General features: G+C 35.2%; 1 protein-coding gene and 1 pseudogene across 8 annotated transcripts in view; both read right to left on the bottom strand.

The window, feature by feature from the left end:
• The window catches only part of LRFN5 (leucine rich repeat and fibronectin type III domain containing 5), a 297,674-nt gene that overhangs the window by 141,219 nt on the left and 130,994 nt on the right, over positions 1 to 25,461 (bottom strand). The gene's annotated exons all lie outside the window — the stretch shown is intronic.
• On the bottom strand, positions 19,879 to 20,780 carry FKBP1BP1 (FKBP prolyl isomerase 1B pseudogene 1; annotated as a pseudogene).

Below are 25,461 nucleotides of genomic sequence, written 5' to 3'. Positions count from 1 at the left end.
TGAACATATACATTGGTAAGAGCCTTAAAATCAACAAAGGTAGGACTTTAAAGTCTTCTAGACCAAGGCTGAAATCACAACTGTGACCATTTTTCTCTTTCAAAATGAAAACAGTTACAAAAAGTTGTAATTATTTCAAGATACAATGTATGTGAAAGTACTCATCATAAAACCTTATACATTATAGGCATTGCAACAGTTTTGTTACCCTTAGAAAATTCTTCCTAAACCTGCCCTAAGTTTTGACCCATTGAAAGCCCTTGAAATACTTGAAGACACCAGAATATTATCTCACATATTCCCTTCATTTTAAATATTCATAACATTTGAAAAATTATGAATCCATCAAATGGTATCATTACCAATCATTTCTCCCTAGAATTCCTAATAGTACAAAATAAAGAATGAGTTGTTCTACCTTTATTTTTAGCTATATTTACTTTGTGTTAAAAATGATTAGAAAATAAACAGCCAGATGTTTTGGCCTACATGATGCAAAAACCAGCTGTTTTGAAATATATAAATAATTGAATCATATGGTTTTACTACAGTTCATTCAATTACTTATTTATACTTATGTAATAATATATTGAGATAAAATAGCCATTATCTTTTGGGGGATTACTCCAAAACTGAGGTTATAAGATAGGAAATTCTATTTTATTAAAACAAATGACTTGAAAAATAATTTGGGACACAAGCAAAAAATTGAAAATTACTCCATATTAATGAGTTTGTTAAAGCATAATTATTCAGAAATTCATATAAACACTATTATTAAAACATGCTTGCCTCACCATTAATACTGCTAAACCTACTTTAAAAGTAAATTAGAGGCAATGATTGAATATGAAAATGCATTTGTTATTGGAAAAAATGTAGCACCATATCCTTGGCTATAGGAAAACTTTTACAAATTATTACACACATCCAAGATCATATGACAAATAAATTAATACACTGCTAGAGCATTTATTGCTTAATGTAAATGTCACATTGTAAACGAGAACAACTAATCATTCCTTTCCTCTAATAGCAAGAGTTCAGCAGTTAAATAAAGCATAAATCTTGCTGACCTAAAAATTTTATTACTGCATTTGTAATATCTTGTTAACAACTAACAGAAAATAACATTAAGGGATACTGTATTTCAGTAAGCTAGAACTTAGGTGAAGGTTTTTTTTTTTTTTTTTCAGGGTGTGAAGACAGAGGGTGGGTAGAGGTTGTGCTTGCTTTTCATTGTTTTTAAAGAAATGACTCATTCACTATGTTTCATAGTAATAGTTTAAAATAAGATATTCTCACCACATACAAAAAAGAGATGCTAAATTAATAACTGATTCAGTGAAAACCAAAATGTATTATTATAATTTAAATTTAATTACAAAATTTCTGATTAGTAGATAGTGGTTGTAAAATTCCTCTACAAAAAATAAACAAAAGAAATGTAAAACCAGGCCCAGATGAAGACCCCAGAGCTATCAAAGTACTTTTACTTGCACAACAATATTTTGTCAAATGATAGAATCAAAATAATCCAAAATAATAACAAAAATACTTCAAATAATGACTTCACAATTTAAATTTACTCTGCTAAAATTTTTCTTGATATTTATCAGAAATTCAAAGTGTTATAAACTTTTTTTTCCCTGAAGACAACTTTGGCACATCTTCATCCCTTGGTGAAATGAGAGAGTGGTCCTTTGACTTCATTTGCTAGCTCATGTTGTGCTCTGACAATGTAAATGTCAGGCCTACTCTGTTCTTTGGACCATAGGGAAAAACAAAATACAACATTATTGTCGCTCTTAGTGGTTTGGCAAAAGTCAGCAGACAGATAGTATGGTCACACTAATATGTATGTCAGTTTATCTCTTTGGTAATGATCTTTTTTCAATTAAAACAGAATATCAGTTTGTGCCTATCAATAGAATAATTATCACTTTTTATCTACATACCGTATTTTCTTCTTTCTTCCCTTCTCCCTTCTTTCTTTTTTCCTGTATCCCCCATTTCTTCCTTCCCTCCCTCTCTCCTTTCCTTCCTTCCTCTCTTTCTCCTGCCTCCCTCCCTCTCTCTTTTTCCCTTCAGTAACTCAACAACTTATACTTAAACCTTTTGTCCATTAGTATTTAAATGGTTATAATACCTACATCAGGGTGTCACTGTGAATGTTATTGGATATATTACATACATGCACACAACTGCGTATGCACATGCACCCAAGTACCATAACCTGAAAAAAAATGTTTTATATAAATCAATATCTTATCTATTTCAAGTTTGTTTGACCTGATTTTTGACCTCTTTCCACTACTTCCATCAGGGGCCCAATTTAGGTTCATGTCAGGAGGAGGTGGCAAATCTTTATTAGTCCAAATGGACATTGGGGCTTACTGTGAACATCATGTTAGCTGATTATTGGATAATAGCAAATCTCCGTGTTAGTGTATTCATGGAGGTTTTATCTCCATCTAATCCCTAACCATGTTGTTCTATAATATAATCCCCTTATGTAGATCCTTTATATCTACCAGTTTTCACCTTCCCTCCTTTTCTCCCCTCTTCTGTGTCCCGTCCCTCCCTGTTTCCTCTTTCTTCTCTCTATCCCTCCCTGATTCCCTTCTTTCCTTCCTCCCTCCCTCTCTCATCCTTCATTTATTCCTCCTTTGCATGTTAAATCAGAAATCATTTCATAAAGAAACCATAATACTGCACATTTTATAAACATACAAATTTTTAAAAACCCAATTCAGTAGAATTTCAAAACATTTATATTACATTATGTCCTCTCTTTAGCGTTCTGATTCATGTGTAAATGTGTAGAAGCCAGATCAATTTTTTAATGTGCAAATGAGAAAGTGCAAGTTCTGTTTGTTTATTAATATTCATAATACAAGTAATACATGAGTACATTATTCTTTTAAAATTAGATATAATAGAAGCAAGGCACAGTGACACATGCCTGTAATCACAGCTGCTTTGGAAGACTGAGGTGGCAAGACTGCTTGAGCCCAGTAGAACAAGCCCAGCCTACGCAACATAGTAAGACCCTATGTCTGAATATTAAGAAATAAATGTTTATTTATTTATTTATGGATGAGGGAGAGAATTATTTGTGGCTATACGTGTAGCAGAATGTATCATGTTAACTGAACTTTTCCGTATTTTTACTGTGTTCATGTATACCTACATATGTGATAAAATTTAGAAAACTAAATAGAAGCAAATACAAATACATATAAAATTGGTAAAAATCTGATAAGGTCAGTGGGTCGTACGAATGACAGTTTCTTGGTTGCGATATTGTACTACAGTTATGCAAGATGTAACCACTGGAAAAAACCAGGTATAAGATATGTGGGAATCCCTCTGTGTTATTTCCACGACTGCATGAAAATTTACATAATAGCGCATCATCTGCCTTAGGGCGGACTTACGTGTGAACAGTTTCAGGACTGCAATCTTAGCACTTTACTAGAAAATGAATATCTAGAAAAACATGCTTAATTGTCACAGTGAATTATTTGTCCTTATTAAACCACATTTGAAATACAGTGTGTCTCACAGAAAACTAGAAAAAATATAAAACTATCAGTCAATGAAAAGCTCTGAATTGCTATTTGCTTTGGGTACCAGACCACATCAATGGCATTATAGCAAAGCACAGAGATTACATTTTGTACCAGGTATGTAATATGGTAAAATGACCAACTACTAAGTGCACTCCTGGACTGGTGTTAATCAGAGTCTTTACCTGTGCTTGTCTAATTGCGTTTCCCTTTATTAGCCAATAAAATAAAATAAAATGCTGTTTTCTGGTGCTCTCTCTGTGTGTGTGTGTGTGTGTGTGTGTGTGTGTGTGTGTGTGTGTGTGTGTGTAGAGAGAGAGAATATACTTTATAATGGTCACTGTAAAAATACTGGAACATATATATTAAAGTCAGTGGGTTGAACATGAGACTGTAAGTCCTGGGAAACTATTAAGCAATTGAAAATTAGATTCATAGATAGTTAAGAGAGATTTTGAAATAAACTCAGAAAAACTAAGGACCACATGGAGTATGGGAGTTTCGAAGAACTGCAAATATTCTGAAAAGCAATATGGGTGTGAGAAATATCTACAAGCACGAGAAGCACCTTTTTGGGAAGGAGGACTTAAAAACACATTACAATGACAGGAAAGAACTAAGAGTTTTGATGTGAGAGGTATTACACTTTAAAATGTACCATCCTAATGGTACATCATGTGATGTACCACGTGTCTTAGATCTCTTATTGGCCTGTAAGCTCTTTGAGGTCCAGGAATATAATATGAATAATTGTATGCCCTGCAGCATCTAGCACCTTCACCTACATACAACAAATTACATTTTTAACTGCAAATGAGGAAAAATCACATAGTAAAAAACATTCAAAGAAGTCATCTCTTGAGGAGAAAGTTTCCAAAAGAAAAGATGACTCAAAAAGAAGAGAATATTTTAAAAAGGAAAATTAAATGATGCAATTAGAAATTATTTCGATAGAGAGGTCATTGGAAACAAAGTTAAACTATGAAGGCTGTATGGGACAAATTTTCCATAAGGTCAGATTATAAACAGTCATGTATAAAAGACAAAGGAAGAATGAAGAACTAAAGATGAATACAAAATAATGTTTGCAAAGCATTTTCAGACACATTATTTTATTAGACCGTAACCCTGCTGTCCTTGGTCTTTTCTTGTTCAGCATTTTAACATTGACTTAAGAAAGGACATAAGAAATTAAACTTGTTAAATCTGTGAATCTGTGACTGACACAAAGCTGGGATTTTAAAATGTCTCCATAGGCTTATGAATGGGCCAAGACTGTCAAAATGAAATACAGTAAAGCCAAAGTAAAGAGGCTTAGATTTAGAAACTTAACTATTAAAGTACAGGCAAGGGTTACTTCTTTGAAAGTAGTTTATATGAAATACACATAAGGGATTAATTGTCTCTATGATCCTTAATGGTCAATAGTTTCAGGACTGCAATCTCAGCATTCATTAATAGAAAAGATACATCCAGAAGAACAAGTTTAATAGTCATATTGAAATATGTCATCCTTATCAAGCCACATCTGGAAAACAATGTGTCTCATTATGAACTTGGTGAAACATGCCAAGAGACAAAAACTCAAGGAAATCTGGCAAGCACTGCAACTAAAAAGTGGTTGGAAAAACCTTGGAAATTTTAGCTTGAGAAAGAGATATGATAAAGAGAAGACACCTTCAAAGGCCATTTGAAAGCATAATTTGGAAAGAAGGATAAGAGTTGCATGGGGGCTCTACTTTTACATTAAGAATATACTATTAGGATAGTCCCATATTAGTATGAGCCACCATGGAAAAAGTGAGTGAATTGATTTCTGATAGCTCACTCTATATGGGTACCAAAAATGACATTCTTCTGGAGCCAAGATGGCCGAATAGGAACAGGTCCAGTCTACAGCTCCCAATGTGAGCCACGCAGAAGACTGGTGATTTCTGCATTTCCAACTGAGGTACCGGGTTCATCTCACTGGGGAGTGTCAGACAGTGGGTGCAGTACAGTGGGTGCAGCGCACCGAGCGTGAGCCAAAGCAGGGCAAGGCATCGCCTCACCTGGCAAGCGCAAGGGGTCAGGGAATTCCCTTTCCTAGTCAAAGAAAGGGGTGACAGATGGCACCTGGAAAATTGGGTCACTCCCACCCTAATACTGTGCTTTTCCAATGGTATTAGCAAATGGCACACCAGAAGATTATATCCCACACCTGGCTCGGAGGGTCCTACGCCCACGGAGCCTCACTCATTGCTAGCACAGCAGTCTGAGATCAAACTGCAAGGCGGCAGCGAGGCTGGGGGAGGGGCGCCCACCATTGCTGAGGCTTGAGTAGGTAAACAAAGCGGCCAGGAAGATTGAACTGGGTGAAGCCCACCACAGTTCAAGGAGGCCTGCCTGCCTCTGTAGACTTCACCTCTGGGGGCAGGGCATAGCCAAACAAAAGGCAGCAGAAATCTCTGCAGACTTAAATGTCCCTGTCTGACAGCTTTGAAGAGAGTAGTGGTTCTCCCAGCACGCAGCTGGAGATCTGAGAACAAACAGACTGCCTCCTCAAGTGGGTCCCTGACCCCCGAGTAGCCTAACTGGGAGGCACCCCCTAGTAGGGGCAGACTGACACCTCACACGGCCGGGTACTCCTCTGAGACAAAACTTCCAGAGGAACGATCAGGCAGCAACATTTGCTGTTCACCAATATCCTCTGTTCTGCAGCCTCTGCTGCTGATACCCAGGCAAACAGGATCTGGAGTGGACCTCCAGCAAACTCCAACAGACTTGCAGCTGGGGGTCCTGACAGTTAGAAGGAAAGCTAATAAACAGAAAGGACACCCACACCAAAACCCCATCTGTACGTCACCATCATCAAAGACCAAAGGTAGATAAAACCACAAAGATGCGGAAAAAACAGAGCAGAAAAACTGGAAACTCTAAAAATCAGAGCACCTCTCCTCCTCCAAGGGAATGCAGCTCCTCACCAGCAATGGAACAAAGCTGGACGGAGAATGATTTTGACGAGTTGAAAGAAGAAGGCTTCAGACGATCAAACTACTCTGAGCTAAAGGAGGAAGTTCGAACCCATGGCAAAGAAGTTAAAAACCTTGAAAAAAAATTAGACGAATGGCTAACTAGAATAACCAATGCAGAGAAGTCCTTAAAGGACGTGATGGAGATGAAAACCATGGCACGAGAACTACGGGACCAATGCACAAGCCTCAGTAGCCGATTCGATCAACTGGAAGAAAGGGTATCAGTGATGGAAGATGAAATGAAGCGAGAAGACAAGTTTAGAGAAAAAAGAATAAAAAAGAAACGAATAAAGCCTCCAAGAAATATGGGACTATGTGAAAAGGTCAAATCTACGTCTGAATGGTGTACCTAAAAATGACGGGGAGAATGGAACCAAGTTGGAAAACCTCTGCAGGATATTATCCAGGAGAACTTCCCCAATCTAGCGAGGCAGACCAACATTCAAATTCAGTAAATACAGAGAATGCCACAAAGATACTCCTCGAGAAGAGCAACTCCAAGACACATAATTGTCAGATTCACTAAAGTTGAAATGAAGGAAAAAATGTTAAGGGCAGCCAGAGAGAAAGGTCGGCTTACCCACAAAGGGAAGCCAATCAGACTAACAGCTGATCTCTCGGCAGATACTCTACAAGCCAGAAGAGAGTGGGGGCCAATATTCAACATTTTTAAACAAAAGAATTTTCAACCCAGAATTCCATATCCAGCCAAACTAAGCTTCATAAGTGAAGGAGAAATAAAATACTTTACAGACAAGCAAATGCTGAGAGATTTTCTCACCGCCAGGCCTGCCCTAAAAGGGCTCCTGAAGAAAGCACTAGACGTGGAAAGGAACATCCGGTACCAGCCACTGCAAAATCATGCCAAATTGTAAAGACCATCGAGGCTAAGAAGAAACTGCATCAACTAATGAGCAAAATAACCAGCTAACATCATAATGACAGGATCAAATTCACACATAACAATATTAACCTTAAAGGTAAATGGGATAAATGCTCCAATTAAAAGACACAGACTGGCAAATTGGATAAAGAGTCAAGGCCCATCAGTGTGCTGTATTCAGAAAACACATCTCATGTGCAGAGACACACATAGGCTCAAAATAAAGGGATGGAGGAAGATCTACCAAGCAAATGGAAAACAAAAAAAGGCAGGGGTTGCAATCCTAGTCTCTGATAAAACAGACTTTAAACCAACAAAGATCAAAAGAGACAAAGAAGGCCATTACATAATGGTAAAGGGATCAATTCAACAAGAAGAGCTAACTATCCTAAATATATAGGCACCTAATACAGGAGGACCCAGATTCATAAAGCAAGTCCTTAGAGACCTACAAAGAGACTTAGACTCCCACACAATAATAATGGGAGACTTTAACACCCCACTGTCAACATCAGACAGATCAATGAGACAGAAAGTTAACAAGGATATCCAGGAACTTAACTCAGCTCTGCACCAAGCGGACCTAATAGACATCTACAGAACTCTCCACCCCAAATCAACACAATATACATTCTTCTCAGCACCACACTGCACTGATTCCAAAATTGACCACATAGTTGGAAGTAAAGCTCTCCTCAGCAAATGTAAAAGAACAGAAATTATAACAAACTGTCTCGCAGACCACAGTGCAATCAAACTAGAACTCAGGATTAAGAAACTCACTCAAAACTGCTCAACTACATGGAAACTGAACAACCTGCTCCTGAATGACTACCGGGTACATAACGAAATGAAGGCAGAAATAAAGATGTACTTTGAAACCAACGAGAACAAAGACACAACATACAAGAATCTCTGGGACACATTCAAAGCAGTGTGTAGAGGGAAATGTATAGCACTAAATGCCCACAAGAGAAAGCAGGAAAGATCTAAAATCGACACCCTAACATCACAATTAAAAGAACTAGAGAAGCAAAAGCAAACATATTCAACAGCTAGCAGAAGGCAAGAAATAACTAAGATCAGAGCAGAACTGAAGGAAACAGAGACACAAAAAACGCTTCAAAAATCAATGAATCCAGGAGCCGGTTTTTTGAAAAGATCAACAAAATTGATAGACCACTAGCAAGACTGATAAAGAAGAAAAGAGAGAAGAATCAAATAGACACAATAAAAAATGATAAAGGGGATATCACCACCAATCTCACAGAAATACAAACTACCATCAGAGAATACTATAAACACCTCTACGCAAATAAACTAGAAAATCTAGAAGAAATGGATAAATTCCTCGATGCATAAACCCTCCCAAGACTAAACCAGGAAGAAGTTGAATCTCTGAATAGACCAATAACAAGCTCTGAAATTGAGGCAATAATTAATAGCTTACGAACCAAAAAAAAGTCCAGGACCAGATGGATTCACAGCCGAATTCTACCAGAGGTACAAGGAGGAGCTGGTACCATTCCTTCTAAAACTATTCTGATCAATAGAAAAAGAGGAAATCCTCCCTAACTCATTTTATGAGGTCAGCATCATCCTGATACCAAAGCCTGGCAGAGACACAACAAAAAAAGAGAATTTTAGACCAATATCCCCGATGAACATCGATGCAAAAATCCTCAATAAAATACTGGCAAACCGAATCCAGCAGCACATCAAAAAGCTTATCCACCATGATCAAGTGGGTTTTATCCCTGTGATGCAACGCTGGTTCAATATACGTAAATCAATAAACATAATCCAGCATACAAACAGAACCAAAGACAGAAACCACATGTTTATCTCAATAGATGCAGAAAAGGCCTTTGACGAAATTCAACAGCCCTTCATGCTAAAAACTCTCAATAAATTAGGTATTGATGGGACGTATCTCAAAATAATAAGAGCTATCTATGACAAACCCACAGCCAATATACTGAATGGGCAAAAACTGGAAGCATTCCCTTTGAAAACTGGCACAAGACAGGGATGCCCTCTCTCACCACTCCTATTCAACATAGTGTTGGAAGTCCTGGCCAGGGCAATCAGGCAGGAGAAGGAAATAAAGGGTATTCAATTAGGAAAAGAGAAAGTCAAATGGTCCCTGTTTGTAGATGACATGATTGTTTATCTAGAAAACCCCATCGTCTCAGCCCAAAATCTCCATAAGGTGAAAGGCAACTTCAGCAAATTCTCAGGATACAAAATCAATGTGCAAAAATCACAAGCATTCTTATACACCAATAACAGACAAACAGAGAGCCAAATCATGAGTGAACTCCCATTCACAATTGCTTCAAAGAGAATAAAATACCTAGGAATCCAACTTACAGGGGATGTGAAGGACCTCTTCAAGGAGAACTACAAACCACTGCTCAATGAAATAAAAGAGGATACAAACAAATGGAAGAACATTCCATGCTCATGGGTAGGAATAAGCAATATTGTGAAAATGGCCATACTGCCCAAGGTAATTTATAGATTCAATGCCATCCGCATCAAGCTACCAATGACTTTCTTCAGAGAATTGGAGAAAACAACTTTAAAGTTCATATGGAACCAAAAAAGAGCCCGCATCGCCAAGTCAATCCTAAGCCAAAAGAACAAAGCTGGAGGCATCATGCTACCTGACTTCAAACTATACTACAAGGCTACAGTAACCAAAACAGCATGGTACTGGTACCAAAACAGAAATATAGACCAATGGAACAGAACAGAGCCCTCAGAAATAATGCCGCATATCTACAACTATCTGATCTTTGACAAATCTGACAAAAACAAGAAATGGGGGAAGGTTTCCCTATTTAATAAATGGTGCTGGGAAGACTTGCTAGCCATATGTAGAAAGCTGAAACTGGATCCCTTCCTTACACCTTATACAAAAATTAATTCAACATGGATTAAAGACTTAAATGTTAAACCTAAAACCATAAAAACCCTAGAAGAAAACCTAGGCATTACCATTCAGGACATAGGCATGGGCAAGGACTTCATGTCTAAAACACAAAAAGCAATGGCAACAAAAGCCCAAATTGACAAATGGGATCTAATTAAACTAAAGAGCTTCTGCACAGCAAAAGAAACTACCATCAGAGTGAACAGGCAACCTACAGAATGGCAGAAAATTTTTGCAATATACTCATCTGAGAAAAGGGCTAATATCCAGAATCTACAATGAACTGAAACAAATTTACAAGAAAAAAACAAACAACCCCATCAAAATGTGGGCAAAGGATATGAACAGACACTTCTCAGAAGAAGACATTTAGCAGCGAAAAGACACATGAAAAAATGCTCATCATCACTGGCCATCAGAGAAATGCAAATCAAAACCACAATGAGATATCATCTCACACCAGTTAGAATGGCAATCATTAAAAAGTCAGGAAACAACAGGTACTGGAGAGGATGTGGAGACATAGGAACACTTTTACACTGTTGGTGGGACTGTAAACTAGTTCAACCATTGTGGAAGTCAGTGTGGCGATTCCTCAGGGATCTAGAACTAGAAATACCATTTGACCCAGCCATCCTATTACTGGATATATACTCAAAGGATTATAAAACATGCTGCTATAAAGACACATGCACATGTAAGTTTATTGTGGCACTACTCAAAATAGCAAAGACTTGGAACCAACCCAAATGTCCATAAATGATAGACTGGATTAAGAAAATGTGGCACATATACACTATGGAATACTATGCAGCCATAAAAAATGATGAGTTCATGTCCTTTGTAGGGACATGGATGAAGCTGGAAACCATCATTTTCAGCAAACTGTCGCAAGGACAAAAAACCAAACACTGCATGTTCTCACTCATAGATTGGAATTGAACAATGAGAACACATGGGCACAGGAAGGGGAACATCACACACCGGGGCCTGTTGTGGGTTGGCGGGAGAGGGGAGGGATAACATTAGGAGATATGCCTAATGTTAAATGACAAGTTAATGGGTGCAGCACACCAACATGCCATATGTATACATATGTAACAAACCTGCACATTGTGTATATGTACCGTAAAACTTAAAGTATAATTTTAAAAAAATGACATTCTTGTGTGGGACTTAAGTTTGGAGGAGATTGGTCCTAAGGATTCTGTCTGATGCTAATGTCCTGTGAGACTGCCTTTAGTAAGATACTTAAGGTTAAGTTAACCCTATGCTCAAAGTCAAACTGACTTCTCTGCATCCTCAGAGTGTGCATCTGCTTGGAGAGACTTCCAAAGATGAGATAAACAGATACATTGTATGTATCACCAGTGACTTTATAATGTGATAAACATTTAAAACTAAATATAAGTGTGAATATTTATCTCATCTCCTTGAACATATCTAGAAGTCCATTCTTAAGCCAATACATATGTGCATTGGAGGAATGAAAAATATATATATGTGGAAGGATTATAATTTCAATTTTTTTTCAATATATTCTAATTTGTGATTTTGATGCTTGACCACGGGAGCTGTAATTCCATTTATAGCTCTAAAAGTATGTGCATTTGAATTTTACCATAGTGCTATTAACACCGAACTTTATTAACAAGAGCATAATTTGATTTTCTTCTTTAGAGTGATTACATGCTGAAATGGTTTGGCTCCCTGTTCTCACCCAAATCTCATCTTGAATTATAATTGTGTTGAGGGAGGGCCCTAGTGGGAGGTGATTGATCATTGGGGCAGTTTCCCCTGTGCTCTTCTCATGATAGTGAGGGGGCTCTGACAAGATCTGATGGTTTTAAAAGTAGCATGTTCTCACTCATAAGTGGGAGGTGAACAATGAGAACACATGGACACAGGGCGGGGAACATCACACACTGGGGCCTGTCGGGACGTAGGGGGCTGAGGGAGGGATAGCATTAGGAGAAATACCTAATGTAGATGATGGGTTGATGGGTGCAGCAAACCAACATGGCACGTGTATACCTATGTAACAAAACTGCACGTTGTGCACGTGTACCCTAGAACTTAAGGTATAATAATAATTTTTAAAAAGTGGCAGTTTCCCCTGTGTGCTCTCTTCTGCCACCTTGTGAAGAAGGTGCCTGCTTCCCCTTTGCCTTACTCCAGGATTTTAAGTTTTCTGAGGCCTCCCCAGCAATGCAAAACTCTGTCAATTAAACTTCCTTTGTTTATAAATTACCCAGTCTTAGGTAGTATCCTTACAGCAGTTTGAAAATGGACTAATACACATGCATTAGCCAAATAATTTTGCGTAAGTGGTAACTGAGATCACAATACAATGAAAGCAAATTTTAATATTTAATATATGTACTTTATTATTTTCAAAGCTTTGTTACATACATTATTTTATGTGACCTTCAAAATAATATTACAAAGCAGGTATCACAGTTATCATTTGCTCTCATTTTCAAGGCCCAAAGATGATGTCTCTTGCACAGGTCTATGCCACTATTTGCTGGCAGGTAAAACAACAAACTATAGAATCTCTTTCCATTATCTCTCTCTCTATATAGAAATATATATACATGAAATCTTATATACATATAAAAAATCTTATATATATATATATATATATATATATATAAGAAAAGTTACTCAGCCTCAAGAAATTCCAACTAAGCCATGACATTAAGAGAGAAGAAAACTGATAACATTATACAGGATGTAAACAATAAGAAATAAAATGGAAATTTAATTTATAGGGACCAAATTGTAAAATTACTTACACACAATTTTTCTAGTTTATTTTGGAGCTAAGGACAATATATGTTTAAACTTATCTCATCATATCAAAATGAATAAGCCAAACAGAAAATATGTTTTAATATAGAAAAGAAAGTTAGAGAGACAGTTTCAAAATGTGCATGTCTCCCTATTGATGTTAACTAAAAGTTACCATTTTTGATATTTTATTTAAATATGTGCTAGTTGTCTAACATCAGTAACCCAATTCTTAATTCTGGCATTGATTTAGTGATAATGAACTTTCAACATTAGGATGAAAATTTTCTCATCTAATTAGTGAACTTATTTTAACTTTTATTTTAGGTTTGGAGGTACATATGAAGGATTGTTACACAGGTAAACATGTGTCATGGGAGTCTGCGGTACATATTATTTCATCACCCAGGTATTAAGCCCAATATCCAATAGTGATCTTTGCTTCTCCTCTCCCTCCTCCCACTCAAATAGACCCCAGCGTCTATTGTTTCCTTCTTTGCATTCATAAGGTCATATGGTTTCACTTTCACTTATAAGTGAGAGCGTGCAGTATTTGGTTTTCTGTTCCTGTGTTAGTTTGCTAAGGATAATAGCCTCCAGCTCCTTCCATGTTCCCGCAAAAGACATCATCTCTATATACACCATGGAATACTATAGCTGTATAATATTTCGTAGTGTATATGTAGCACATTTTTTATGGAATCTATCATTAAATCAATGAATGTTTGTTAATTCAATGTCTATGACATCCTTTGGTTCTATTTGCACTCAGTTCTTGCTTTATTATAAGTCAGTATTTCACTACCTCTGGCATGCATTAATACAATAGCTTTATAAATGGATTCAGTCTTATAAGACAATACAGTTTTATAAGACAATACAACATATTCTGGATTGTTACTGTTTGCATACGTCTCTCAACGCTCATGTATTGGAAATTTAATTGTCATTGCAACAGTATTAAGAGGTGAGGCCTTTAAGAGGTGATTAGGTAATGAAGGCTCTGTCCTCGTAAATGGTTAAATTACATTATTTTGGGAGTGGCCAAGTTATCATAACAGTGAGTTCATTATAAAACATATGAGTTTGCCAATTATTCTCTGTCTGGTGTCCTCACTTCCACCTTCAGCCCTTCTATCATGGAGTGACCCTTGCCAGATGCTGGTGCCATGCTATAGAATCCACTGCCTCCAGAACTACAAGATAAATAAATTTATATATATATATATAAAATATCCTGTCTGTGGTATTCTGTTATAGCAGCAGAAAATAGAGTAGGTCATCCATATTTTTATTTTGCCAACACTGTAATGATTACCTTTAAATGCAAATGAAATTATGTGTCACATATGAAATTCTAGTGTACCATTAAAAGCCCATACGCATCTGGCTTTCACCATTCCTCACACTAAGCTGTATTCATACTGAACCATACATTTTTTTCTGAGTTTTTAATATTGGGGTAAAAATGCACAACACATTTACTATTTAATAGTTTTTAGTGCACAATTTAGTAGTATTGTGTACATTTATACTGTTGCACAACCATCATTACCACTCTTCTCCAGAACTCTTTTCATCTTGCAAAACTATTAAAAAATAACTCTCCATTATCCCCTACCTGAAGCCCCTTGCAATCACCATTCCACTGTCAGTTGCTATGTTTGGGACTACTCTAAGTTCCCTCTATAAGTGGAGTCCTATAATATTCTTTTGTAATTGGCATATTTTATTTAGCATAATCTCCTCAACATTTATCCATGCTCTATCATATATAAGTTGTTTTTTCCTTTATGAGGCTAATATTCCATTGCATATATATACCATTACCTTAGCCATTTGTCTGCTAATGGACAGGTGAATTGTTTCCAACTTTTAGCTTTGTGACTAATATAATTTTAAACATGGATATACAAATACATTTTTTGATATCTTGCTTTCTATTCTTTCCACTTCTATACCCCAAAGTGGAATTACTGAATCACAGTAGTTCTATTTTAATATTTTGAGGAACTATCTTATTTTCCCAGGCAAATGAACCACTTTCACTTTACATTCCCACCAACACATCAAGAGCGTAGAAAGGTTTAAATCGCTTCACATCTTCTCCAAGTCTTCTTATTTTCTGTGTTTATATTCTTTGGAGAGTCTTCATCCTAATGATTACGAAGTAGTATTACATGGCAGTTTTGATTTGCATTTTCCTAAAACTGTTGATGCTAGGCATTTTATTATATGTTGTTTTCCATCTGTATATCTTTTCTGGATCATGCCTGTTGAAGGCCTTCATCTATTTTTGAATTGGCTTATTTCTTGTTGAGTTTTAGGAGTTCTCTATATATTCAGGATATTAATAACTTGTCATATATATAATTTCCAAATACTTTCTCCCATTCTGTGGGTTGCCTTCTTACTCTATTGATAGTATCTTCTATGCACTTTAAAAAATGTTCATGATTCCAATTTGTCTATTTTTCTCTTTGTTGGCTATGCCTCTGCTGTCATATTCAATAAACCATTACTAAATCCAATATTTTAAAGCATTTGCCTTGTGTGCTGTTTTAAGAGGTTATAGTTGTCAGTGTTATATTTAGGTCTTTAATCCAGTTTAATTTTTGTATATGGTGTTATGTAAAGGTCCAACTTAATTATTTTGCATGTTTTTCCAGCATCACTTGTTAAAAAGACTGTCCTTTCCCCACCTGAATGGTGTTGGCAACCTTGTCAAAAATAATTTGTCCACACATGCAAGGGTTTGTTTCTAAATGCCGTATTCCATTTCATAGGTATATATGTTTGTTTTTATGCCAGTACCAAAATCCTTTGATTACTGTAACTTTGTAGTAAGTTTTGCAATCAGGAAGTATAAGCCCCATAGCTTTAAAAAATATATATTGTGTTGGTTATTCAGGATTCCTTGAAATTCGGTATGTGTTTTAGAATTTTTAAAAATTTCTTCAACAAAGTAATCAGAATATAGTGATTGGAAATTTGTAGATCCTTTTGGGTAATACTGATGTTTTAATATTAACTCTTCCCATGGTGAACATAGGGATTCTTTCTAATCTATGTCTTCTTTCATTTATTTCAGAAATGTTTTGTAGTTTTCATTCTGTAAGGCTTTTGCCTCCTTTGTTACGTTTATTCCTAACTCTTTTATTCTTTCTGATGGTATTGTAAATGGAATCATTTTCTCAATTTTCTTTTCATACTGTTCATTATTAGTGTATAGACTGCAAATGCTCTTTGTGTGTTAACATTGTATTCGCTTATTTTGCTGAATGTGTTCATTAGTTCTAGCAGGCTTTCAGGTGTGTATTTTCTTTAGCATTTTCTACTTAAAAGATCATATCATCTGAGATCAGAGATAATTTTATTTCTTTCTTTTCAATTCTAATGCCTTTTCCTTCCTTCCTTTCTTCTTTCTTTTACACATTTGGAGTGCCTAATGTATTTTTGCTTTTTTAAAAAATTTTTGTGAGTACACAGTAGGTGAATAGATATTGCTCAAAAGAGGAAATATAACTGGCAAAGAGGTATAGGAAAAGGTGTTCAACATCAGTGATAATCAGAAATAAAAATAAAATCTACAATGAGATATCATCTCACCCCTTTATTTGTTTTTATTGCCTAACTGCTCTGGCAAAGACCTACCACTCCATTGAGTAAAAGCGGCAAAGTGGATTCTTGCCATGTTCACAATTTTAGGAGTAAATATTTTAGTCTTGCCCCACTGAGTATGATATTTCTGTATTTTTTGTCATACATGACTTTTATAATATTGAGGTAGTTTCCTTCTATTCTTTGAGTGTTTTGTATCAGGAAAAGATAGTGAATTTTGTCAAATCTTTTCTTGGCATTAATTGAGATAATCGTGTATTTTTTCCTTCATTCTGTTTATGTGGTATATTACAGTGAATGATTTTAATATGTAGAGCCATCATTCCATTCTAGGAATAAGTCACACACAGTCAGTCGGTATATAATCCTTTTAATATGCTGCTGAATTCAGTTGGCTAGTATTTTGTTGAGAATTTATACATCAATGATCATAAGGCGTAACTGCCTGCAATATTTGTTTCCTGTATTATCTTCCTTTGACTTTGCTACCAGGGTAATGGTGGCCTCATAGAATGAGTTAGGGAGTGTTCCTTCATTTTCCATTTGAGAAAGATTAGTGTTAGTTCTATAAATGTTTAGTAGAATTCATTAGTGAAGCCATCAGATCCAGGGCTTTTCTTTTTGGGGAAAGTTTTAATTAGTGGTTCAATTTCCTTACTAGTTACAGTGCTATTCAGATATTCGATTTCTTCTGGGTTAATTTTGGTAAGTTTTGTATTTTTAAGAATTTGTCATTTCATGTAGGGTTATTCAGTTTGTAGATATACAATTGTTCAGGATAATTTCGTAATCCTTTTTATTTCTGTAGAATTAGTAACATCTCCACTTTCATTTCTTATAACAAACTTATTTTGAATCTTCTCTTTTTTTCTTAGTCCAATATTCATAAATTTTTATTAAGCATTTCAAAGAACCAATTTTTAATTTGAATGTTCTCTCTTATTTTACTATTATTTATTTCAATGATCTCTGCTCCAATCTTTACTATTTATTTCCCTCTGCTATGTTTGGGGTTTAGTTTGGTACTCTTTTTCTAGTTCCAGAAATTGTAAAGTTGGGTTGTTCAATGAAGAGCTTTCTTAGTTTTAAATGTAAGCATGTATAGCTAAAAGTTTTCCAGTTAGCATTGCTTTCACTGAGTACCGTAAGTTTTGATATATTATGATTTTGTTTTCATTCATTGCTAAGTATTTTCTAATTTCCCTTGTGATTTTTGACCCATTTGTGTTATTTAATTTCCACAAATATATGTTATTTAATTTTGACAAATTTGCGGTATTTTCAGCTTTTCTTTTGTTATTTCTAACTTTATTCTGCCATTGTCACCAGAGTAAATATTTTATGTGATATCAATCTTTTAAAATGTATAGATACTTAATCTGTGGCTTAATATATGTTCTATCCTGAAAAATGTCTTGGGTGAACTTGAGAAAAATGTGTATTCTGTTGTTGGGTAGAGTGTTCTGTGTATCTGTTAGGTCCGGTTGTCTTATTTTGTTCATTAAATCTTCTATCTTCTTATCTTCTGTTTATAGTTGTTCTATTGAGAGTGAAGTATTGAAGTATCCAACTATTGTGTAGAGATATTTTCCCCTTCAATTCCATCAGTTTTTACTTTATATTTTTACAGTCAATTACTACGTGTAAATGTTTAAACTGCTTTGTCTTCTTTCTCTATTACTCTTGCTCAACTTTTATTAATAAATAATGCCTTTGTCTCTTGTAAGCTTTATAAATTTAAAGTTTATTTCATCTGCTATTACTATAGCTACCCCAGCTTTATTCTTGTTAATATTTACATGAAATATATTTTTACATATTTTCATTTTCAACCTATTGGTGTTCTGGATCCAAACTGAGTCTCTTGTGAACAGCATATTATGTGAATTATGGTGTGCGTGTGTGTGTTTCTTAATGCATTTTACCAATCTGTGTCTCTGAATTGGAGTGGTTAATCTGTTTACACTTAAAGTGATTACTGATAATGTGGGACTTACTTTTGTCATGTTGCTATTTGTTTTCCATATATATTATAGAATAATGCTCCTCATTTCCTACACTACTGTCCTCTTTTGTGTTTACTTAAATTTTTTTGTATTGAAATGGTTAAATTTATTTCTCTCTTCCTATTTATTTATTTTTTCATTTATTTGAGACAGGGCCTCATTCGGTCACCCGGGCTGGGAGTGAAGTGGCACGATACCAGCTCTCTGCAGCTTCAACCGCCTGGGCTCAAGTGATACTCCTGTCTCAGCCTCCTGATAGCTAAGACTACAGGTGCATGCCACCACCATGCTTGGTTAAATTTTGTATTTTTTCTAGAGATGAGATTTTTGCCATGTTGCCTTGGTTGGTCTCAAACTTCTGGGCTTGAGCAATTCACTCACTTTGATCTCCCAAAGTGCTAGGATTATAGGCATGAGGTACTGCACCCAGTAGCTTTCTCATTTTCTTTTGTGTATATTCTTTAGTATTTTATTTGTAGTTACCAAATGATTGAATTTAACATCCTCCAATTACAAGACTCTGATTTTATTCCAGCTTAACTTCAATAATGTACAACATCTCTACTCCTTTGACAGTTTCATCCACACCACTTTTAGCTGTTGTCACAAAATTATATCTTTGTACATTTTTTCCTAAAGTACAAACGAATATATTTCTTTTAAAATTTTATTAATTTATGTTTAATTCACAAATAATAATTGTACTTATTGATGAGGTAAAATGTGATGTTTTGATCTATGTATACACTGTACAGAGAGCCAATTAAGCTAATTAACATATCCACCACCTTAACAACTTATATTTTTTGTGGTGAGGACATTAAAAATCTATTATTTTAACAATTTTTAAATACATGATATATTCCTACTAACTGTAGTTACCCATGCAGTGGAATACAACACTGAAGTTTATTCCTCCAATAAAACTGGAACTTTTCCCCTTTGGTCAACATTTTCATTTTCCTCATCCTTCCCCAATCTCTAGTAACCACTTTTTAACTTTTGATTCCATGAGATAAACTGTTTTATTTTTATTTTATTGATTTATTTTTTGGTCAAGCACTGCGTCTTTATTTTACATATTATTTCCAAAGCAGACACTGTTTAAGTGAGCAGCCAACAGAATTTATAAGATAGAAAGTGAAAGCAAAGGTAACTGGCTCAAGTCTCTAGCATACACCATGTATATTTCATATCTGATCACCTTGCATGTCTGGCTTAAGTGAAGGTAGGGCGATGTAGATTTTGCAAGCAAGAAATCTATTTTCTGTGACCAGGAATGGCTACTACATGCCTTATAAAAAAATGCACAACATGAAATGTTTCAATGAAATCAAAATTTCCTCAAGCAAGGATATGCATGAACAATAATGAACACATACACAGCAACTTGGGCAGAAAGAATGGATCATGCCATGAGACAGTGAGGTTAGCACACTGATCAAGAGCCCCAAACAGGAGGAGCCAACCCAGTGGCAAAGCAGGCTAGGAGGGTGAGCAGCAGCCATCTCCATCCACCTTGATTTCCTTCCTGCCTTCACTCTAAGTTGAGCAATTCCATGTCAAAGATAGGATAGCACTGGGAGGGATGATACTAGAGTAGCCTGGAGCTCTATATGACACATCACATATGCAGGTCAGCTTCACCTTCTGCCCCAAGCTCATCTGCGCTATGTACTCTTCAAAACCACTGATGACTTCCTGTTCACCAGTTTTGAACTTGAAAGGTTTGTTTCTGTCTTCGGATAAATCAAATTTATTCCCATTTTGGAACACCCCTATGTAGTGCGCTACACACACCTGGCTCTTCTGGCTCTTGTTGGTGAATGTCCTTCTTGACCCATCATGGCCCCATAAGCCCCATCCACGGGAATTGCTGATGTTGCCCCAAACCCAGTTTGGCTCCCGCCCCAGTCACATAGTCGCTCCAACGTATCTTCCTGTCACAACTGCAGAGATGAAAGAAGTGCAGCTGAAGTTGGGACCTAAGTCAGTAGGTAGGATGATATCAAGTTTTTTAGATATTACATATAAGTTAGATCATAAACTATTTGTCTTTCTATGACTGGCTGAATTCACTTAGTATAAATTCCTCCAGTTCCAGCCATGTTGTGAATGAAAAAAATTTCCTTATTTTTATGGCTGTATATTATTCTAGTGTGTGTGTGTGTGTGTGTGTGTGTGTGTGTGTATACACACCACATTTTCTTCATTAATCTTTTAATAAAACCAGGTTGCTTCTATTGCTTCTATATCTTGGCTACTGTGACTAATTCTGAAATAAACATGAAAGTACAGGTATCTCGTTCACATGCTGATTTCAGATTCATTGGCTATATATCCAAAAGTAACATTTTTGGGGTCATATGGAATCTACTTTTAGTTCTTGGAAAATCTCCATACTATTTTGCAAAATGATTGTATTAATTTACATTGGCCCCAACAGTGTACAAAGGGTCCATTTCTTGCCAACACTTGTTATCTCACCAACACTTATCAATTTTTGTAATAGCCATTTTAATGGGTGTGAGGTGATATCTCATTGTGGTTTCAATTTTCATTTCCCTGATGATTAGAGACATTGAGGATTTTTTCATATATCTGTTGGTCATTCACATGTCTTCTTTGGAGAAATATCTGTTCAGATTCTTTGTCTATTACTAAATTAGTTTTTTGGTTTTTTTTTTTTATTTTAGCCCCTTACCATATGTATGGTTTAAAAATATTTTACCTAAATTTGTGGGCTATCTCTCCACTATGTAAATTGTTGTCTTTGCTGCATCAAAGCTTTTTAGTTAGATGCAATATCCTCTGTCTATTTTTGCTTTTCTTATCTGTGCTTTTGAAGTTCCATCCCAGAAATCCTTGCCCAGACCAAAATTATGAAGCTTTTACCCTACATTTTCTTCTAGTAGATTTATTGATTCAGTCTTTCATATTGGTCTTTTGTCCGTTTTGAATTAATTCTCATATATGGTGTGTCAGAAAGATCCAATTTCATGCTTCTGAATGTGGATATAAAGTTTTGTCAACACCATTTATTGAAGTGATTGTCTTTTCTTCATTGTGTTTATCTTTGTGGAAAATCAATTGACCTTAAATAGTCAGGTTTGCTTCTGTGCTTTCTATTCTTTTCCATTCATCAATATATCTTCTTTCATGCCAGTATCATGCTGTTTTGACTACAATTGCTTTATAATCTATTTTGAAATCAGGAAATTTGATACCTCCTACTTCATTCTTTTTGCTCAATTGCTTCAGCTATTCAAGGATTTTTTTCTATTAGACTTTTATTCTATTTCTGTGAAAAACAAATTGGAATTCTGATAGAGATTGCATTGAATCTGCAGGTTGCTTTGAGTACTATGTATGTTTTTAAAATAGTAAATTTTTCAACCTATGAACATGAGTTATCTTTATATTGTGTGTTTTTCAACTTCTTTCACCTATTATAGTTTTCATCATAGTCAATCATTCACCTCTTCAGTTAAATGTATTCCTAAATATTTAATTTTATTTTTGGATGCTATTGTAAATGGAATTATTTTCTTGATTTCTTTTTGGATAGTTTGTTGTTAGTTTATAGAAATAGTACTCTTTTTTAAATTTTGTTTTCATAAACTACAACTTTATTAAATGTACTAATCAGTTCTAATAGGTCTTTGATAAAGCCTTTAGGGTTTTCTACAATAAAAATCACCTCATTGGCAAACCTGATGCCAATTTCAATTTGCACTGACAATTTCACTTCTTTTTTTCCTTTATGGAGGCCTTTTATTTCTTTTTTCTAATCTAGTTGTTCTAGCTAGGACTTCCAATACTATAATGAATAGAAGTGATGACAGTGAGCATCCTTTTCTATTTCCTAATCTTAGAAGAAAAGCTTTCAACTTTTCACTGTTTAATATGATATTAACTGTGGGCTTGTAATATATGTATTTTATTATGTTCAGGTACATTATTTCAATACCTATTTGTTGAGAGCTTTTATCATGATCAGATGTTAAATGTAGTCAAATGTTTTTTCTGTATCTATTGAGAAAATGTTTTTTTCTGTATCATATGATTTTCTTCTTCATTTTGTTAATATAGTGTAACTCATTTATTGATTTATGTGCATTGAGCCATCCTTTCTCTTGTGGAATAAATCTCATTTTATCAAAGTTAATAAATATTTTATGTGCTTCTGAATTTGGTTTGCTAGTTTTCTTGAGGATTTTTGCTCCATATTTATCAGGGATTTTGGCCTGTTGTTTTCTTTTCTTGTAGTGTCCTTGTATGGTTTTAATATTAGGGTAAAGTTTGCCTTGTAAAATAAATTTTGAAGTATTCCCTCCATTTCAGTTTTCTGGATAATCTTGAGAAGGACTGATATTAGTTATTTAAATGTTTGGTAGAATTGGCAGTGAGGCTATCATGCCCTGGGCTTTATTTTTATTTTTGAAAGTTTTTTATTGTTGATTCAATCTCCTTACTTATTACAAGTCTGTTCAGATTTTTCTATTTCTTTTTTATTTGTCATGGTACATTACATGTTTCTAGGAATTTTATTTTTTCTGTGTTATTCATTTTTTATTATATAGTTGTCCATGATAGTCTTTAGGTCCCTTGCATTTCTGTGGTATCAGTTATGATTCCTTCCATTTGGATTTTATTTGAGTCTTCTTTCTCTTTGTCCTTGTTAGTCTAGCTAATGGTTTGTCAATTTTATCTTTTGAAAAAACCCCAATTTTACTTTCATTTATATTTTCTACTGTTTTTCTAGTCTCTATTTTGCTTATTTCTGCTCCGATCTTTGTTATTTACTTCCTTCCACTACGTTTGTGCTTAGTTTGTTTTTTTTTTTCTAGTTGCTAGAGGTATAACATTAGGTTGTTTGAAATCTTTCTTCTTCTTTGATGTAGGTGTTTATTGTTATAAAATTCCCTCTAAGGATTGTTTTTGCTGTATCCCATAAGTTTTGGTATATTGTGTTTCCATTTTTCCTTGTCTCAAGATTTTTTTTTCTTTTAATTTATCCTTTGTCCTATGTGTCATTAAGAAGGATATTTAATTTCCACATATTTGTGAGTTCTTCAAGATGATGATGATGATGATGATGATGATGATGATGATGATTGACACAATGTCTGGCTCTGCCACTCAGGCTGGAGTGCAGTGGTGTGATGACAGCTCACTGAACCATTGATGAGCCAAGCTCAAACAATCTTCCCACGCCACCCTCCCAAATAGCTAAGACTACAGGCACATGCCACCATGCCTGGCTTATTTTTGTATTTTTGTGGAGATGGGCTTTGGCCATGTTGCCCAGGCTTGCCTCAGACTCCTGAGTTCAAGCAATCCACCCACTTTGGCCTCCCAAAGTGCTGGGATTATGGAATGAGCTACTGTGTCCAGCCTGCTCCTATTATTGGTTTCTAGTTTCCTGCCATTTTAGTCACAACAGATGATATTCAATATAAATTCATTCTTCTTAAATTTGTTAAGAATTGACTTGTAGACTAACATGTGATCTATAGAAGAGAATGTTCCGTGCATACTTGAGAAGAATATGTATTTCACTGCTGTTAGATGAACTGTTCTATAATACCTGTTAGATTCATTTGTTGTAAATAGTAGTTCAGAAAATTTCCCTTGCCTGGGTAAGAAGTTAGAAACACAGATTTATAAAGCTCAGTGAACATATAACAGTTTGAATATAAAACAACCTACATTAAGACACATTATAAATAAATTGCTAAAAGTTAAAGGGAGAATATTGAAAGCTATCAGAGATTCCATAATGTAATGATGAGCAATCTGGACTCTGAAAGCTATCAGACGAAAGCTACTTAATGTATAAAACGGGATCTTGAAAAGACTGTCACTGGATTTTTCAGCAGAAAGCTTGCAGGCCAGAAGAGAATTGAATGATATATTCCAAAAGATGAAAGAAAAAAGAAAACAACTTCTGACAAAGAATTCTATACCCAGAATCCTGTCATTTAAAAATAAAGGGGTTAGATCCCATTTGTCAATTTTGGCTTTTGTTGCAATTAGTTTTGGTGTTTTAGTCATGAAGTCTTTGCCCATGCCTATGTCCTGAATGGTATTGCCTAGGTTTTCTTCCAGGGTTGTTATGGTTTTAGGTCTTACATTTAAGTCTTTAATCCATCTTGAGTTAATTTTTGCATAAGGTGTGAGGAAGGAATCCAGTTTCAGTTTTCTGCATACGGCTAGCCAGTTTTCCTAATACCATTTATTATATAGGGAATCATTTCTCCATTGCTCACTTTTGTCAGGTTTGTCAAAGGTCAGACGGTTGTAGATGTGTGGTGTCATTTCCGAGGCTTCTGTTTTGTTCCATTGGTCCATATATCTGTTTTGCTACCAGTACCATGCTGTTTTGGTTACTGTAGCCTTGTAGTATAGTTTGAAGTCAGGTAATGTGATGCCTCCAGCTTTGTTCTTTTTATTTAAGATTGTCTTGGCTATACAGGCTCTTTTTTGGTTCCACATGAAATTTAAAGTTTTTTCTAATTCCGTGAAGAATATCAATGGTAGCTTGATGGGAATAGCATTGAATCTATAAATTACTTTGGGTGGTATGACCATTTACATGATATTGATTCTTCCTATCCATGAGCATGGATTT

Source organism: Homo sapiens, chromosome 14 (assembly GCF_000001405.40).
Source record: "Homo sapiens chromosome 14, GRCh38.p14 Primary Assembly".
NCBI lineage: Eukaryota > Metazoa > Chordata > Mammalia > Primates > Hominidae > Homo > Homo sapiens.
Note: the sequence above shows the minus strand (reverse complement) of the source record. Positions and strands in the feature narration are given on the sequence as shown.